This window comes from Homo sapiens, chromosome 2 (assembly GCF_000001405.40).
Source record: "Homo sapiens chromosome 2, GRCh38.p14 Primary Assembly".
NCBI classification, from domain to species: Eukaryota; Metazoa; Chordata; class Mammalia; order Primates; family Hominidae; genus Homo; species Homo sapiens.
This window is the reverse complement of record NC_000002.12, coordinates 196,858,840-196,878,418: the sequence shown is the minus strand read 5'-3', so window position 1 is coordinate 196,878,418 and position 19,579 is coordinate 196,858,840. Positions and strand designations below refer to the sequence as shown.

The 19,579-nt window shown below is 34.6% G+C and overlaps 1 protein-coding gene across 8 annotated transcripts in view; it reads left to right on the top strand.

Moving 5' to 3' along the window:
• The window catches only part of PGAP1 (post-GPI attachment to proteins inositol deacylase 1), a 93,704-nt gene that overhangs the window by 48,289 nt on the left and 25,836 nt on the right, over positions 1 to 19,579 (top strand). For 5 of the 8 annotated variants that reach the window (NM_001321100.2, NM_024989.4, NM_001321099.2 and 2 more), the window contains 7 exons: positions 2,598 to 2,673; positions 4,661 to 4,734; positions 4,840 to 4,891; positions 5,393 to 5,459; positions 5,870 to 5,978; positions 7,440 to 7,478; positions 13,339 to 13,432. In NM_001321100.2, coding sequence (NP_001308029.1) covers positions 2,598 to 2,673; positions 4,661 to 4,734; positions 4,840 to 4,891; positions 5,393 to 5,459; positions 5,870 to 5,978; positions 7,440 to 7,478; positions 13,339 to 13,432 — 511 coding nt within the window. Of the gene's footprint in view, positions 1 to 782; positions 2,674 to 4,660; positions 4,735 to 4,839; positions 4,892 to 5,392; positions 5,460 to 5,869; positions 5,979 to 7,439; positions 7,479 to 13,338; positions 13,433 to 19,579 lie in introns of those variants that run through there. The other 3 variants (XR_007082522.1, XR_001738960.2, XM_047445910.1) reach the window with 3 other exon arrangements.

The following is a 19,579-nucleotide window of genomic DNA, read 5'->3' as shown; positions in this document are numbered from 1 at the left end:
AATTGGAAAATTCAACCCCTGACCTCATGTGGTGAGATGTAGTCAAAACAGTCAAAATTTTGTTTCATGCACAAAGTTATTAAAAATATAAAAATTACCTTAAGACTAAGTGTGTAAGATATGTATGAAACATAAATGAGTTTTGTGTTTAGACTTGGGTTCCATCCCCAAGATATGTGATTATGTATAGGCAAATATTCCAAAATCTGAAAAAAATCAAACACTTCTAGTTCCATGCATTTTGGATGAGGGATCCTCAGCTTGTACTAGGGAAGTGGGAATAGAAAGAAAAGAATGGTGATTTTGATAGAATTAGTGGGTAAGAAAGAAAATGGAGGTAAAGGGCCCTTCGGACTCCCCTTTTCCTATTTCACCCAGCAAACTTACTCTTCAAGATCCAACCCATGTCCCTTTTTCCCTTTTCCAGAGTCCCCCAGTAATCTTTTACTTATTCTCATGATACTTTATAACTTCTTTGAAAAATTTATTATATTGAATTATAATTTATTTATGTCTCAGTTGCCATGACCACATTGTGAACTCTTTAAGAGTAATGAACAGATAGGTTTTATTCTACTTTGCATCCTCAACCTTCAGTGACTACTGCATAAATGCTCAAGAAAATGTTTATTGACTGAGAAGGTTCATAAGATTTGTAGCCAAAATAATCAGAAAAATGTAGGAGAAATAGAGAAAGGAAAAGGGGGATGTAGTTGGGAGTCATCTCAATGACTAAATCTCACAAGTACCTTATAATGGATTCATTGTTCTGTTTTGCTTAGCTCAAGTAAGAGGTAATTCAGCATCTGCAATACTAAAACCTCTCTTAAAGGGTTTTTCTGGCAGGTAAGCTGGTTTTGAATGAATCTAACATTTTTCTCAAACTTGAAAAGGCCCTCTCTGGTTATTCCAAGAAATTGATGAGTCTTTCTGCAAATAGACAGTCTTAGCAGCCTAATAAATATGTAATGCATCTTAATGCTCTTTGGAAAGTAACACTGCTGACTCTACTGTTGTACAACCCCATCTCACTAGAATTATAACTTAAGTCTTTCATAATTTTTGCATGTCTATGTATAGCTCATCATCAGAACATGACATATATTCAAATAGTGTAAAACATTTTTGAGTCAACTTCTGTCAGTATATTTTTAGAAATGCAAATATGGAATTTATCTGCATTTTTTTGTAACAGAAAACAAAATAATTAAACCCATTAGAAATTTACTTATCGTGGGTGTTTCAGAGACAGGCCTTTGAATTTTCTCTTTCTTGGGTAGGGTTTTTGTCATTATGCAAAACTAAAGGCATAGCCAAATTTTTAAAGCAATAATAAAAATTATATTATTTTAAACTTGTTCAAAGTAATGAAATTGCTTTTAAAAACTGCTTCCCTGTCTGATATAGGCTTATCCAAAAGTACTTTGTAAAAAATGTAATGAGTAATCCTGTTCAATAAATGATTGCTATAATCTTTTAGCAGCTGTTTTCTATAATGAAAATATCTGACTGTGTTCTTTGCCTTGTAAGGAGGGAGAAATAAAGCAAAACCCCTTAAAAGTTTTTTCTTTTATTCCCCCAAGTGTATGGATTAATCTAATAGCAATTTCCCTGTCTGTTTTTCACTTTTGAAAACAATCAAAAATCTACCCAAGAGGCAAACAAAGTAACACTGCTTCAGACAAATCCAAAGTATAGTTATTAGAAAAGCCTAGGATAGACCCCACTAGCTTTCCACTTTTGTAGACAGCAAACTACTTGCTAGCTACAGTTATGCATCAGATTAATTTTTCTTTAGCTTCCGTAGATCAAAATAATATGATTGCATTGTAGAGATTATTTTAATGAAATTATTCCTTTACCAGAAACAGTTCTTGCAGATAAGTGAGAGCAGAGTTTCTTATGCAGCTAATAGAAATGTTATTTAAAAAGAAATGTCACTACAAAAAATTATAATGATGCAAGTGTCACATTATAGTTTTACTTTTTTGAAAAGCATTTCTTTTTCTGGCTTCATACATAGTAAACCTTTTTTCCACTTACTGTGATAACTGTTTAACCTGAAATAGTGTTCCACAAATAACATTAGCCATGTGTCAATGAATGGCAGTATTTCTCCAGCAGGCTTTTATAGTCTAATTAGACTATCTTTAATAAATACAGGATTTTTCAAAAAGATATAAAACAAAATCACATTTTCCTTTTGACTATGAAAGTATTAAGAGACATAGTATCTAAATCTTTAACTAATCTTGAATTAGCCTAGGCTGATAATACTTTCATCCATCCTTTACTGTCCTTCTTATGCAAACACCTAAAGCTAACTATAAAAAAACTGCTATGAATCTGTTGTTCTAGAAATGGCCCTCGAATAATTTATCTATTAAGTTAGGCTTGTATATCAAGTTTTCTCAGCATAGTATCTCTCCTTGAGAAATTCTTGCCACTTAAGTATAGGCAGAATTATAGTGTAATAGATGATACTTTCTCCAAAGCTGAGGTTTATAGACTTTTATTTTCCACTCAAACATCAAGTAAAGATACTTTACTGTAAATTTAACTTACTTTTTCTAATAAATCAATGTTTTATATTTCAGTTTGTTGTAGATTGTGAATTCTTTAAAAAAGAGAAAAGATACATACAGCTTCCTGTAACTCATCTTTTTTCCTTTGGTAAGTACTTTGTTTTTGGAAAGCATAAGAATTGCTTTTATTTTTAACAGAGTTGCAGTAAAGCAGAGCTTTGTAATATCAAATGTTGAATATTTCAAGTATAGTTCTTAGAATAACTATATGATGTGGTTCAGTGGTTTTATTCTCATTGGGCTAGCAGTCATATTCTGAGAAGTGAACTTCCATAATCACATACATTTGCAGGTAATTGCGTGTGTGTATCTATGTGTCTGTGTGTCTGTTCTTATGTGAAATTTATCCTATTGGCCCTTATTAATACAATTTTAATATAGAGTTATAAATTATTTGTATAAGAAGGTTTCAAGATTTCTCTAAATATTCTTTTAAACTTTATTTTGAAATAATTTTAGATTTACAGAAAAGTTACAAAAGAGTTCCTGTATATCCTTCACCCACATTTCCCTAAGGTTGACCTTCTACATAAACACAATACAATTTTTTTAAACTAAGAAATTAGCATTGGTGCAATACTGTTAATTAAACTACAGGCTTTATTTGTTTTTCACCAGTTTTTCCACAGATGTCCTGCTTATCCAGGTTTCCACATTGCATTTAGTTGTCATGACTCCTAAGTCTCCTATAATCTGTGACAGTTCCTCAGTCTTTCCTTGTCTTTCACAACTTTGAAACCTTTGAAGAATACTGTTCAATTATTTTGTGCAATGTTCCTTATTTGGAGTTGTCTGTTTCATTTTTGTGGGGCGAGTGGGGAACAGGGTCTCACTCTGTCACCCAGGCTGGAGTACAGTGGCATGATCCCAGCTCACTGCAACCTCTGCCTCCTGGGCTTAAGCGATCCTTCCACCTCAGCCTCCTGAGTAGCTAGGACTACAGGCATGTGACACCATGCTCAGCTAATTTTTTTGTATTTTTTGTAGAGACAGAGATTCACCATATTGCCCAGGCTGGTCTCAGACTCCTGGACTCAAGAAATCAGCATGCCTTGGCCTCCCAAAATGCCGGAATTACAGGCATGAGCCAACGTGCCCAGCCTAATACTTTCTTATGATTAGATTGAGGTTATGTATTTTTGCCAAAATACCACAGAAGCAATGAGGATTTCCTACTATATCATATTGAGTATACGTGATACTGATATCTCTAATTACTAGTTATGTTAATTTTCCTTTCTTGGTTAAGGTGGTGCCTGCTAGATTTCTCTGCTATAATGTTATTGCTTTTTCCTTTTGTAATTAATAAATATCTGGGGTGACATACTTTGAGAATATATAAATGTCCTGTTTTTCTTTAGAATAACCCACTATTTTTAGCATCCATTGGTTCATCTAGTACTTAGCAAATATCACTCTGGTATTCTACATTTAGTGGAATTCTTCCTGAGATAAAGTAGACCCTTCTCCCCCATTATTTATTTATTCAATTTTTATTTATGTCACTATGGACTCAGAGGTATCTATTTTATTCATTGGGCTATAATCCAATTCTATCATTATATATATTTTTGCTTAAGTTATTCTAGCTTTGAATATTGGGAACTTTTTTATGTTGGCTCCTGTGCCCTTTAAATATTTTTTTTACATTTTATTTATGAAAAGAATCTGTGTTACTTGGCAAAACTTTAGGATTTTTATTTTTCCCCCTACCCTTTGTTTTGGTACAAAACTACCCAGAACAATACAGAAATGACAATTCTGAATCACCCATATCATTGAAGATAAGAAGCTTGTAAAATAAAAGATCTACCAAGAAAGTACACCTTTCTGAAATTGGAATTATATACCTGACTTTTTTAAAAGCAGATAGATGTGATTGGAAGTAATAAAATTTATTTTGTCTAGAGTTTATTGCTGGGAGATTAGATTTTTAGGAGTTAACTCCATACAGAAGTGAAAACCTGTAAATAAATTTTTAATTATTGGCATTGTCTTAATGCTAATTAAATAATCAGTATGTTTTTAAAAACTTCCTTGATATTCTAAGTAATACAGTACTTTGAATTCAACAGGATTGTCTTCAAGGAAAGTGGTGTTAAATACAAATGGCCTATACTACAATCTAGAGCTTCTGAACTTTGGACAGGTAATTAATCCTGACTACAAGAAAAAGGATTTGATTTTACTTTAATGTTTACTTTAACATACAAGTAAACCTTTATATTTTGTTTTTGTGGTCAAACTCTATTAGATATACCAAGCTTTTAAAATCAACGTGGTAAGCAAGTGCTCAGCAGTCAAAGGTAAATATGTTTTCTAAAAAATGTATAGAAAATAATATTGTCATTTGAAGACTCAATAGGTGTTAACTCAAATTTTCTATAATACTTATTCTTCCATATATTTTTATGTGAAGTAAAATTAAATTTATAACAGGTTGTTTATATTTCCAGGGGATTTAACATAGACCCTTTCTTAACAGTAAAGCATTTTTATCTGTTTCAGTTTAAATATCCACATTTTAAAAATGCCATATATCTTTATGTCTTATAGTAGTAATTCAGATTTAGTTATTTAGTATTTTTCCACTTTCTTAATACTGGCTATCTGCTGTAATATCTATTATAAATCTAATTAAAGCATTATTATTTAGGAATTCGCCATAATTTTTTATCATGTAATATAACCTGTACTGATTTTTTTAATGAAATGGACAATTGTATAATTAGTTAGATATTATAGTAGTTTATGTAACATTTAGGGTAACATGTTGTTAATAATACATTTTTTAAATGTTTTAACAGAAGAAATAACCAGTATCTATAGACTTCATATTCCTTGGTCTTATGAAGATTCACTAACCATTGCACAGTAAGTATTTGAAAGAATTTACTTTAAACTTTGGTGTTTTTGAATAATAGATATTCTGCTTAGTTTATTTATTTAAATCATGAATTATTAAAATGCATCAGTAAAATGTATGTATCCTTTATGTAGCATTGTTCCTATAATTTAATATATAGTATTCTTATGAAATGATAGAGAACTTAAACTTTACTTCCTTGGAACCTGAACCCCCTTCCACCCTCTCGCAACTCCTGTGTCCTAGAGGGAGCATTCAAACAATTGTGATATCATTGAAAAAGTGCCCATCCACAATTATGTGTCTGGCACCTAGCTTCCTCTACATTATTCAGTTGTATTGTGCTGAGGATTAACTTAGCCATGGCTCTTTACCAGCATTTTGTATTTGAGAATTGATATTTAAGTTATCTCTTCAGGGCTCCATCTTCCACAGAAATTTCTCTGAAACTCCATATTGCTCAACCAGAAAACAATACCCATGTGGCATTATTTAAAATGTACACGTCATCAGACTGTCGGTACGAGGTAAGTTGTATGTTTGATTAATTTTTAAGATTTAGTTGTAGAATAAGCTAGAAATGTTCTTTTTATATAAGCTTCAGATATATGGTGGCATGGAAGCCAATGCATATAAAAAATAGGCATTTAAAATATTTTAAATATTCTTCATTTTTCCTATTAACACCACCTTAGCATCTCCATAGCTGGGCCATTTGCAAATGTATACATCTTAATAAGTAATAGAAGATAAAGCAAAAAAATGAGACTGTAGATTAACCTTCTAAATTTGGAAGCCCCAAGTCCAGAATCTTTTTTATAAATTGAAGAACATCATGAGGTCAGCTGACATGGGCTTACTGCAGTAACTGACATGATACTTAATGGTGTATAGCTCTACTGGTTGTTAGCTTAAGGATCTTCTTTCCTTTTCACTAATTATTTTAAGCTCTGCTAGTCATTAAAATGTGTGATTTCATACCTATTGTGTTTATTTTGTAATCAAAGTACATCTCTTTGTGTTAAGGGGGATAGACTTGAGAGTAACATTTTAGTTACTTATGGATTCATGAATGAAGAGCCCCTAGATTCCAGATTTAAGTGGTTAAAGTACTCATTTCAGTGGTTATGACAACATAGGCTTCTGGTTTATGTGAAATATTTTATTTCTGCTCAACTGCTTTAAACCAAGCTTAAATGTTTGGATTCTTTGTTAGAACTAACTTTTCAAGGATAAACTAGGATTGATTTTGTCAAATTAATAGAATCTGTTCCTCCAGCCAAGTTTCAGTTGAACTTATATTATGAATTAATTTAGATTTCATGGAATTTATTATTGCTTTGATATCTTGCATCCTGTTTCTAACAGTTCAGGGTTTTGCAGGGCCATAGTAGTTTTTAATTTGCATGTTCATATTTATAATATTAAAGCAATACAAAAAATTGTGATAAAAATTTGACTCCAACTACTGCATGCTCTCAAAATGTCCATTTTTTTTACAAATACTGCATATCTTCAAGAAGTCCATATTTTGACAAAATCATTTTAAACTTCCCTAAAAATATTTATCTCCTTTCTAATATCAAATAGACTTCCTAATTATCAAAAAGTTGTATTTATGGTAGAGATAATTAAGGATGAATTTCTTTTTAAAATATTATTTTGGCTTAAATTTCTTTAGCTGGCATGATATGGTAATAAGATATTCTACTTAATTAAATATTTTAGGTAGTAAAGGAGCAAAATAGCATTCACTCAGCTGTCAAATAATTAGATATGTGGGAAAGTATACTAAACAGTAACACTCTACTTTAATGCAATTTGCATGGTGGTTCAAAAGATTCTTTAAGATCTTGAGTGCCTTTAAGGTTTACCATTATAGAAAATCAATTATTATGCTTAGAGATATGCATAAGTGCTCAATTTAATAAAATGTAAAGGAGTTTAGAGGAAAATAACCTTTTTTTTCAATAATTGTTTTAAACTAGGTGACAGTTAAGACTTCCTTTTCACAAATACTTGGACAGGTAAGAGAGATTCCTGGCTGGTTGATTATTTACTGCTTTATGAATAGATAACTCTAAGGAAGGGTTGTAGACTTTTTCCATAAGGGGCTGGATAATCAATAATTTTTTGCAGACCACATACAGTATCTTTTGCTACTGCCACTGCTGTAGTTGCTTCTGTCTTCTTCCTTTTTTCTTTTTCATTCTTCTTACACTTGAATAAAATCCAAAAATTATTCTTGGCCCACAGACCATATTTGCCCACCCCTGCTTTAAGGTGATTCTTTCATGTTTGATACATCCAAAAAATGAGAGCTGATACCTGATTCTCAAACAAATTAATATTTTTGCCTAAATGAATTTCATGGTTTGCCATGGTGGCCCCCATCTGTAATCCCAGCACTTTGGGAGGCCAAGGCAGGCAGATCACTTAAGGTCAGGAGTTCGAGACCAGCCTGGCCAACTGGTGAAACCCCACCTCTACTGAAAATACAAAAATTAGCCAGGCGTGCTGGCATACACCTGTAGTCCTGGCTACTCAAGAGGCTGAGGCATGAGAATCACTTGAACCTGGGAGACAGAGGTTGCAGTGAGCTGAGATTGTGCCACTGCACTCTAACCTTGGCAACAAAGGGAGACTCCATCTCAAAAAAAAAAAAAAAGAAAGAAAGAAAAAGAAAAAAGATTTCATGTTGCTCATACTATAAATTCATAGTACAATAAAATATGTAGGCTCTGCCATATAAATGAATGTTTTCAAATAACTTTTTATATTGTGCATGCTCAGTTTGTAAAAGGTAAACATAAATTCTATTAAAGATAAATGTGTTGAATTCATTAGCAAATAATATTACAAAAATGCTGCATAAAGCAGTAGAACTATAGCTATTACTTAGCATCACTATAATTTGCACAATTGTGCAACCTGGACATAAATAAGATAACAATTGATTAGTTAGGGAAGTTATATAGTTTTAATATTCAGTCAAATTTGTATTATAGCTTTATTCCTTTCACTTTTTTTTGGTCTGTTGTATTTTGCAATGCAGGCATAGTAGAATTTTGTTTTAACTCTAAGTCATTTAATACTGTAATAAAACTCACAAGGCAAAATTAAATTAGAAACATTTTGTATATGCATTATCTCATTTAATCCTCAGAGCAACTTGGTGAGAACTAGATTATGATCATTATTAATTTGTGAACATTATAAAATTCTAAGTTAATATATAGAAATTTTGTGCTAAATTAGGAAGAGAAGATTAAAATCTTAGTATAAGTTGGAAAATAGCATCATGGATAATTACAGTACATATTATAAAATGTTGGGCCGGGTGCGGTGGCTCACGCCTGTAATCCCAGCACTTTGGGAGGCTGAGGTGGATGGATCACGAGGTCAGGAGACCAAGACCATCCTGGCTAACACGGTGAAACCCCGTCTCTATTAAAAATACAAAAAATTAGCCGGACGTGGTGGCGGGCACCTGTAGTCCCAGCTACTGGGGAGGCTGAGGCAGGAGAATGGCGTGAACCCAGAGGTGGAGCTTGCAGTGAGCAGAGATCGCGCCACTGCACTCCAGCCTGGGCAACAGAGCAAGACTCCATCTCAAAAAAAAATGTTAAGGGACCAGTTAAATCTCTCAAATTCATACTATTGTATATTTAGTATGGTGAAAGGGCATATTACTGTAAACAGTGGTTTGGGGTAGGAATATAACATATTCTCTTATCCATATAATTCCTGTGTCTCATAATTCAGTTTAGTAACAAGAAAAGTCAAGTCAGCTTGATACACTAGAATCAAGCATAATTGTAAACCAAAAGAGGACAGACCTAGTATTCTTGTTTTGATGTGGAAATCTTTCTAAAGACTGAGGATGTACAGGTGTTACAGTATCAAAGGTGGATTCTTTTTAAAATGTCAATTAAAGAATTTATATTATTGAAGCTTAAGCTTAGTTCTATAAAAAAATTAAAAAAATAATTTGTATTAATTGAATTAAATTCTCAAATTATTGAAAAGACGTAAGATGTTCTTCCTTCATGCTTGTTTAAAAATGTAGCTTGTAGGTAGTAAGAGAATGAATGAAAGTTGTATATCTTACTTGTTTTAAAAAATAATACATATTTTGAATGTTGCTGATTGAGTCACAGAAGATTGGAGAAAATAAAGAGAAACTTCAGCCTTCAATAGATAACTTTTCATAAAGTTAAATTTTTTTCTGAAAAAGGAAAGAGGAAAATATATTCACATATTCTGTAGTCTGCTCTTACGAAAAAGAGGGCAAAGCATGAACTGAAAGTTACTTTCTCAAGAGAATTCCATAAACGCTAGTAAATCATTTCTGTGCAGTAATGAAGTCCAGTGTTGCCAGATCTTCAGCTTTTAAGAGAACCTAGAAATCTGAATTTTTAGATGAAATATTTTAATTTTTCAATGTTGACATGTAAGTCAAAATTTAAAGAAATACTGCACTAAATACTAAGTATGGCTACAGTTTGACTATGAGACAGGGAGGCCAGTTTATGATTGTTAAGTTTAGTAGTATCTTATATACCCAGCTGTATCTGTAGCCCAGTATAACATTTAATACTCATAACGATGATCCTCTATCATTAAAAGAAATTTTATATTCAGAATGCTCTGTGTGGGACCTCTTACAATATTCTAAACACAGTGAAGGGCATTAAAGGTAACAATAACAGCTAATATTTTCCAGTCAGTTACCATGTACCAGTTACTATTCCAAATGCCTTATGCAAGTGTGAACATATTTAAGCCTTACATCCCTGTGAGGTAAGTGCTGTTTATCTCATTTTACAGATGAGGATATATATAGAGAGAAGGGAAAGTAATGGAGGAGTAAAATAACTTGCCCAAGGACACAGAGCTAGTGAGAGGCAAAGCTGGAATCTAAATCCAGGAGTCTGACTCCTGAGCCTGCTATGTTGCTTAACTCTCGATAAGTAGAGTATATTTCCCAGCTTGTCATGTATGATTTGGTATTAGGTAGCAAAATGGTCTTTTCCCTTTTACTCAGCTTTCCCAACCTTCCATGCAGAGCTGTAAACTATAAGTCACAAGTATGGGCTGTACGTTTTCTGATTTTTTCTCTTCTCTTTTTACCTGGGAATTCATGGAGGGACTTTAGGGAGACCCTGAATTTTCTGAAATTTTCTGCAACTTTTATAGTAAGCTTGTACTTCCATAGTTTCCCTCAGGTTGCCAGAGAAGTCTATACATGTTCTAAAAAAATTCTGTGGAATGGAGAACATGCTTTAAAGTAAATTTACTTTTAATAATGTGACATTAAAAGAACTTAAGGCTTTTTTAAAAATTATACTTTAAGTTCTGGGGTACATGTGCAGAACGTGCAGGTTTGTTCCATAGGTATACACATGCTGTGTTGGTTTGCTGCACCCATCAACCCGTCATCTACATTAGGTATTTCTCCTAAAGCTATCCCTCCCTTAGCCGCCCACCCCTGGACAGGCCCTGGTGTGTGATGTTCTTCTCCCTGTGTCCATATGTTCTCATTGTTCAACTCCCACTTATTAGTGAGAACATGCAGTGTTTGGTTTTCTGTTCTTGTGTTAGTTTGCTGAGAATGATGATTTCCAGCTTCATCCATGTCCCTGCAAAGGACATGAACTCATCCTTTTTTATGGCTGCATAGTATTCCATGGTGTATATGTGCCACATTTTCTTTATCCAGTCTATCATTGATGGGTTGATTCCAAGTCTTTGCTATTGTGAACAGTGCCGCAGTAAACATATGTGTGCATGTGTCTTTATAGTAGAATGATTTATAATCCTTTGGGTATATACTCAGTAATGGGATTGCTAGGTGAAATGGTATTTCTAGTTCTAGATCCTTGAGGAATTGCCACACTGTCTTCCACAATGGTTGAACTAATTTACACTCCCACCAACAGTGTAAAAGAATTCCTGTTTCTCCACATCCTGTCCAGCATATTGTTTCCTGACTTTTTAATGATCGCCATTCTAACTGGTGTGAGATGGTATCTCATTGTTGTTTTGATTTGCATTTCTCTAATGACCAGACGATGTTGAAAAAAACATACGATGATTTTTTTCATATGTTTGTTGGCCACATAAATGTCTTCTTTTGAGAAGTGTCTGTTCATATCCTTTGCCCACTTTTTGATGAGGTTGTTTTTTTTTCTTGTGAATTTGTTTAAGTTCTTTATAGATTTTGGATGTTAGCCCTTTGTCATATGAATAGATTGCAAAAATTTTCCCCCATTCTGTAGGTTGCCTGTTCACTCTGATGATAGTTTCTTTTGCTGTGCAGAAGCTCTTTAGTTTAATTAGATCCCATTTGCCAATTTTGGCTTTTGTTGCCACTGCTTTTGGTGTTTTAGTCATGAAGTCTTTGCCCATGCCTATGTCCTGAATGGTATTGCCTAGGTTTTCTTCTAGGGTTTTTATAGTTTTAGGTCTTACTTTCGGTCTTTAATCCATCTTGAGTTAATTTTTATATAAGTTTTAAGGAAGGGGTCCAGTTTCAGTTTTCTGCATATGGCTAGCCAGTTTTCCCAACACCATTTATTAAATAGGGAATCCTTTCTCCATTGCTTGTCTTTGTCAGGTTTGTCAAAGATCAGATGGTTGTAGATGTGTGGTGTTATTTCTGAGGCCTCTGTTCTGTTCCTTTGGTCTGTATATCTGTTTTGGTACCAGTACCATATTGTTTTGGTTACTGTAGCTTTGTAGTATAGTTTGAAGTCAGGTAGAGTGATGCCTCCAGCATTGTTACTTTTGCTTAGGATTGTCTTGGCTATGCTGGCTCTTTTTTGGTTCCATATGAAACAAAGTAGTTTTTTTCTAATTCTGTGAAGAAAGACAATGGTAGCTTGATGCGGATAACATTGAATCTATAAATTACTCTGGGCAGTATGGCCATTTTTATGATATTGATTCTTCCTATCCATGAGCATGAAATGTTTTTCCATTTATTTGTGTCCTCTCTTATTTCCCTAAGCAGTGGTTTGTAGTTTCCTTGAAGAGGTCCTTCATATCCCTTGTAAGTTGTATTCCTAGGTATTTTATTCTCTTTGTAGCAATTGTGAATGGGAGTTACTCGTGATTTGGCTCTCTGTTTGTCTGTTACTGGTGTATAGGAATGCTTGTTTTTGTTATTATATGTATTTTATAGAGAGCTGATAGAATGACTTGCACTATAACGTAATGATTATGAACTTAGGCACTGATTTTAAAACTTATAGTTCCATAAGATTTTCAAACACAGTGAAGGACATAAAAAGTTAATAAAGCAATTAACATTTTCTCATAACTTGTTATATATGAGTTAATATTCTGAATGCCTTACACAAATATGCATGTCTAATCCTAATAACTACCTATAAGGTACATACTAGTATTGTCCCCATTTACTGATAAAGACATAGAGAGGGGAAGCTAAGTAACTTGCCTATTATGTTTTAAATTATACAAGTTAGTTGGGCTCTGATGCCTGAATTTCTTTGTCTATAGAATAGGGATAAGAACTACCTCAAAGGATATTGGGAGAAGTACATGAGATAATGCATATAAGGTGTTTACTGTTGTGCCTGGAACGTATTAAATAATCAGTGTGTTCTGAAAAACAGTTTTTCAGGACATATATGCTACTCAATTATATGTTCTGTTATGCCTTTGATGAAAAATTCAGATACATTTTGAGTTTGCTATGTATTTTCAACATTTATTTTACTTAGAGTTTTTGATACTTATTACTGGAAATATCTTTGTAGCCATGTCAGGTATAAATTGAAGAGCAACTTTTAAATTTTATGTGAAAGTACACTTATTAACATGAATATTCAGGAGTTGCCCATTGACTTACCTGTTTTTTAGGTAGTTAGATTTCATGGTGGAGCTCTTCCTGCTTATGTCGTATCTAATATCCTTCTTGCTTATAGAGGACAGTTATATTCTCTTTTCTCAACAGGTAAGAATGCTTCTAATTTTTAAGTTACTTTTGTTATGAATATTAAAGTAGAATGACTATTAGTTCCACATATGTGTTTATATATATAATTCTGTTATATTGAATCAGGAGACATAATTAAGAGAGTTCTTAGAACTCCCTTTTTATTATTTATTTTTTTATAATTATGCCACGTAATAGTAGCTACTATTCTGTTCTTGAAAATTCCAAAATAGCATGTGATTTTATGATGAGCCTTCTCTGCATCTTTATTACGTTTCCACTATCAACCACCAATCCCAAATAGTTTGAGGAAGCTAGTCCAGAGACCTTAAATTTGTGGTCTTAAGACCTGCAAATTATTAACATTCTCTTAGCTTGTCACTTTTGTATCAGTGTCATTTTTAATGGAAAGAATAACTTTGAGTCTAACCAGATTAAGTCATTTTTTAAAATACATATAGGAATCAAGCAGTGTAATTATCTTCATATAATAATTTGCTAGTATTTATGACGTAAAAAGGGGCAAAACATTTAACCCCATAATACACATCAAAAAATTAACAATAGTGCCCTAATATTATCAAATGCCTTTTTTTTTTTTTTTTTTTTTTTTTGAGACGTAGTTTTGCTCTTGTTGCCCAGGCTGGAGTGCAATGGTGCAATCTCGGTTCACTGTAACCTCCACCTCCCTGGTTCATGTGATTCTACTGCCTCAACCTCCCAAGTAGCTGGGATTACAGGCACCCGCAACCATGTCCGGCTAATTTTTGTATTTTTAGTAGAGATGGGGTTTCACCATGTTGGCCAGGCTGGTCTTGAACTCCTGACTTCATGATCTGCCCGCCTCAGCCTCCCAAAGTGCTGGGACTACAGGCGTGAGCCACCGGACCCGGCCTCAAATTACTTTTTAAGAAGTATTTTATTTTTAATTTATTTGGTTGATACATAATTGTACCTATTTATGGGGTACATGTGATATTTTGACACATTCATATAATGTGTTAAGATCAAATCAGGATAATTAGGATATCCATCAACTCAAGCACTTACCATTTCTTTGTGTTGGGAACATTCCAAATCTTCTAGCTATTTTAAAATATACAATAAATTATTAACTATAGTCATCCTGGCAGGGCACTGGCTCATGCCTGTAATCCCAGCACTTTGGGAGGCCGAGGCGGGCGGATCACCTGAGGTCAGGAATTCAAGACCACCCTGGCCAATATGGTGAAACCCCGTCTTTGCTAAAAACACAAAAAATTATCCAGGCTTGGTGGTGGGCGCCTGTAATCCTAGCTGTCCAGGAGACTGAGGCAGGAGAATCGCTTGAATCCGGGAGGCAGAGGTTGCAGTGCTATCAAATGCTAGACCTTATTTCTTCTAACTGTATTTTTATACCCATTAACCATTCTTTCTTCATCCCTCCACTCCTCTTTACCTTTCCCACCCTCTGGTAACCATCTATTCTCTAGCTCCATGAGATCAACTTTTCAAATTCCCAGATATGAATGAGGGCGTATAATATTTGTCTTTCTATGCCTGACTTATCACTTTAGCATAATGTACTTCAGTTATATCCATGTTGCTGCAGATGATAGAATTTCATTCTTTTTATGTCTACATAATATTCCATTATGTATATATTACCATTTTCTTTATCCATTCACTTGTTGATGGACTTTAGGTTGATTCCATATTTTGGCCATTGTGAATAGTGAGTGCTACAGTAAACATGGGGATGCAGACATCTTTTTGATAGACTGATTTCCTTTCTTTTGGATAATATATACAGCAGTAAGATTGCTGGGTCATATGGCAGATCTATTTGTAGTTTTTTGAAGGACCTCCAGTCTGTTTTTCATAATGGCTGTACTAATTTACATTTGTACCAATTGTGTGCTAGCATTCCCCTTTTTCCGTATCCTCATTATCACTTGTTATTTTTTGTCTTTTTGTTAACAAGCCATTTTAACTAGGGTGAGGTAATATCTCATTGTGGTTTTGACGTACATTTCACTGGTGATTAGTGATGTTGAACATTTAAAAAAATACATCTGTTGGCCATTGGTATGTCTTTTTTCTTTTTGAGATGGAGTTTTGCTCTTGTTGCCCAGGCTGGAGTGCAATGGCTTGATCTCAGCTCACCACAACCTCCACCTCCCGGGTTCAAGAGATTCTCCTGCCTCAGCCTCCCAAGTAGCTGGGATTACAGGCATGGGCCACCATGCCCAGCTAATTTTGTATTTTTAGTAGAGACAGGTATCAGGGAACCTGCCCCGATAGTCACGTAGGTTCTTTTCTATTTTCCCTAAGCGTTGGCTGGCTTGAGAAATAAGGGGACAGAGTACAAAAGAGAGAAATTTTAAAGCTGGGTGTCTGGGAGAGACATCACATGTTGGTAGGTTCCGTGATGCCCCACAAGCTGCAAAAACCAGCAAGTTTTTATTAGAGATTTTCAGAAGGGGAGGGAGTGTACGAATAGGGTGTCGGTCACAAAGATCATGTACTTTACAAGGTAATAGAATATCACAAGGCAAATGGAGGCAGGGTGAGATCACAGGACCACAGGACCGGGGCGAAATTAAAATTGCTAATGAAGTTTTGGGCACCATTGTCATTGATAACATCTTATCAGGAGACAGGGTTTTGAGAGCAACTGGTCTGATCAAAATTTATTAGGCGGGAATTTCCTCTTCCTAATAAGCCTGGGAGCACTATGAGAGACTGGGGTCTATTTCACCCCTACAGTCTACAGACCATAAAAGACGGCCACACCCAGGGAGCCCGTCTATAGACCTACCCTCAGGCGCGTATTCTCTTTCCTAAGGATGTTCCTTGCTGAGAAAAAGAATTCAGTGATATTTCTCCCATTTGCTTTTGAAAGAAGAGAAATATGGCTCTGTTCTGCCCTGCTCACTAGCAGTCAGTTTAAGGTTATCTCTCTTGTTCCCTAAACATTGCTGTTATCCTGTTCTTTTTTCAAGGTGCCCAGATTTCATATTGTTCAAACACACATGCTGTACAATTTGTGCAGTTAATACGATTATCACATGGTCCTGAGGCGACATACATCCTCCTCGGCTTACGAGATGACAGGATTAAGAGATTAAGGTAAAGACAGGCCTAGGAAATCACAAGGGTATTGATTAGGGGAGTGATAAGTGTCCATGAAATCTTTACAATTTATGTTTAGAGATTGCAGTAAAGACAGGCATAAGAAATTATAAAAGTATTAATTTGGGGAACTAATAAATGTCCATGAAATCTTCACAATCCACATTCTTCTGCCATGGCTTCAGCCGGTCCCTCCATTTGGGGTCCCTGACTTCCCACAACAGACAGGGTTTCTCCATGTTGTTCAGGCTGGTCTCAAACTCCTGACCTCAGGCGATCTGCCTGCCTTGTCCTCCCAAAGTGCTGGGATTACAGGCGTGAGCCACCACATCTGACCATCCATTGGTATTTCTTCTGTTGAGAAATGTCTGTTCAGATCTTTTGGCCACTTTTAAAATTAGAGTATTTGTTTGTTTTGCTGTTGAGTTGTTTGAGTTCCTTATATATTCTGGTTATTAATCCTTTATCAGATGGATAGTTTGCAAAATTTTTTCCCAGTCTTTGGCTTATCTCTTCACTTTGTTGTTTGTTGCCTTTGCTGTGCAGTAGCCTTTTAGCCTGATATTATCTCATTTTGCTTTTATTGTATGTGCTTTTGAGGTCTTACCCAAAAAATTTTTGCCCAGACCAGTGTCCCAAAGCATTTCTCCAATATATTCTTGTGGTAGTTTCGTCGTTTCGGGTTTTAAATTTAAGTCTTTATTTTGATTTAATTTTTGCATATGATGAAAGATAGGGATCTAGTTTCTTTCTTCTGCATATAAATATCCAGTTTTCCCAGCACCATTTATTGAAAAGACTATCCTTTCTCCAATGTATGTTTTGGTTGCCTTTAGTGAAAATTAGCTGGCTGTAAATGAGTGGATTTCTGGGTTCTCTATTATGTTCTATTGGCTTATGTATCTGTTTTATGCCAGTACTAAACTGTTTTGGTTGCCATATCTTTGTAGTGTATTTTGAAGTCAGGTAATGTGATTGCCTCCAGCTTTGTTCTTTTTGCTCAGGACTTTTTTTGCTATTTGCAGTCATTTGTGGTACCATATGATTTTATGATTGTTTTTCCTATACCAGTGAAGACTCTCATTGGTATTTTGATGGGGATTTCATTGAATCTAGACATTGCTTGAGGTAGTATAGACAGTTTAACAATGCTAAATCATTCAATCCATGAACATAGATGGAATTGCTTTCTATTTTTTCGTGTGTCTTTTTCAGTTTCTCTCATTGGTGTTTTATAATTTTTCACTGTGGAGATATTTTACTTTGGTTACATTTATTCCTAGATATAATTTAATTGTAAATGGGATCACTCTCTTGATTTATTTTTTTTGTTTTTTGTTTGTTTATTTGTTTTTTTGAGATGGAGTCTCGTTCTGTTGCCCAGACAGGAGTGCAATGGCATGATCTCGGCCCATTGCGAACTCTGCCTCCCAGGTTGAAGTGATTCTTCTGTCTCAGCCTCCTGAATAGCTGGGATTACAGCCGTGTGGCACCACGCCCAGCTAATTTTTTTGTATTTCTAGTAGAGATGGGGTTTCACCATGTTGGCCAGGCTGGTCTCAAACTCCTGACCTCAAATGATCCACCTGCTGCAGCCTCCCAAAGTGCTGGGATTACAGGCATGAGCCACTGCGCCCAGCCCTCTTGATTTCTTTTTCAGATTTTTCATTATTAGTGTATAGAAAGTTACTGATTTTTATATGTTGATTTTGTATCTTGAAACTTTTACTGAGTTCAAAAAAAAACAATTCTAACAGTTTTTTTTGGTGGAGTTTTCAGGTATTTTTTAAATCTAGGATCATGTCATCTGTGAACAAGGATAACTTGACCATTTCTTTTCCAATTTGGATGTACTTTTTTTCTTTCTCTTGCCTAGTTGCTCTGGCTAGGACTTCTAGTACTCTATTGAATAAGTAGTGAAAACAGACATTCTCGTCTTATTTAGATCTTGGAGGAAAAGCTTTCAATTTTTTTTTCCCATTTTGTATAATGTTAGCTGTGGGTTTGTCATATTTGGCCTTTATTGTTTTGAGGTATGTTCTTTTTATATTCAATTTGTTAATAGTTTTTATCATAAAGGGATTTTGAATTTTATCAAATGCTTTCTCAGCATCTATTGAAATGATTTTATACTTCTCGATTCCATTTGTGTTATTTATCATATTGATTGATTTGTATATATTGAACTATCCTTGCATTCCTAGGATGAATCCCACTTCATCGTGGTGAATGATATTTTTAATATGTTGTTGAAGTCAGTTTGCTAGTATTTTGTAGAGGATTTTTGCCTTTATGTTCATTAGAGATATTGGCCTGTACTTTTCTTTTTTTGTTGTATTATTTTATGGTTTTGGTGTCAGGGTTATGCTGGCCTCATAGAATGAGTTTGGAGTTACTTCTTTCTCTTCAGTGTTTTTTTTTGGAATATTGACTAGTATTGATATTAGTTCTTTAAATGTTTGATAGATTTCAGCAGCATAGCCATCAGGTCCCATGCTTGTTTTTGATGGGAGACTTTTTATTACTGCTTCAACCTCATTACTTGGTTTTTGTTTGTTTGTTTTTAGACAGAGTCTCACTCTGTTGCCCAAGTTGGAGTGCAGTAGTGCAATCTCGGCTCACTGCAACCTCCTTCTCCCAGGTTCAAGTGATTCTTGTGCTTCAGTCTCCCAAGTAGCTGGGATTACAGGTGTGTGCCACCACACCTGGCTAATTTTTGTATTTTTAGTAGAGGCAGTGTTTCACCATGTTGACCAGGCTGGTCTTGAACTCCTGACCTCAGGTGATCTGCCTGCCTCAGCCTCCCAAAGTGCTGGGATTACAGGTGTGAGTCACCATGCCCAGCCTCATTATTTGTTATTGGTCTGTTCAGGTTTCCTATTTTTTTTTCTTGATTCAACCTTGGTAGGCTGGATGTGTCCAAGAATTTATCCGTCTCTTCTAGATTTTCAAGTTGTTGGGTTAAATTTGTTTATAATATTCTCTAATGATCCTTTCTATTTCTGTGGTATCAGTTGTAATAACTCTTTCTTTGTCTCTGATTTTATTTGC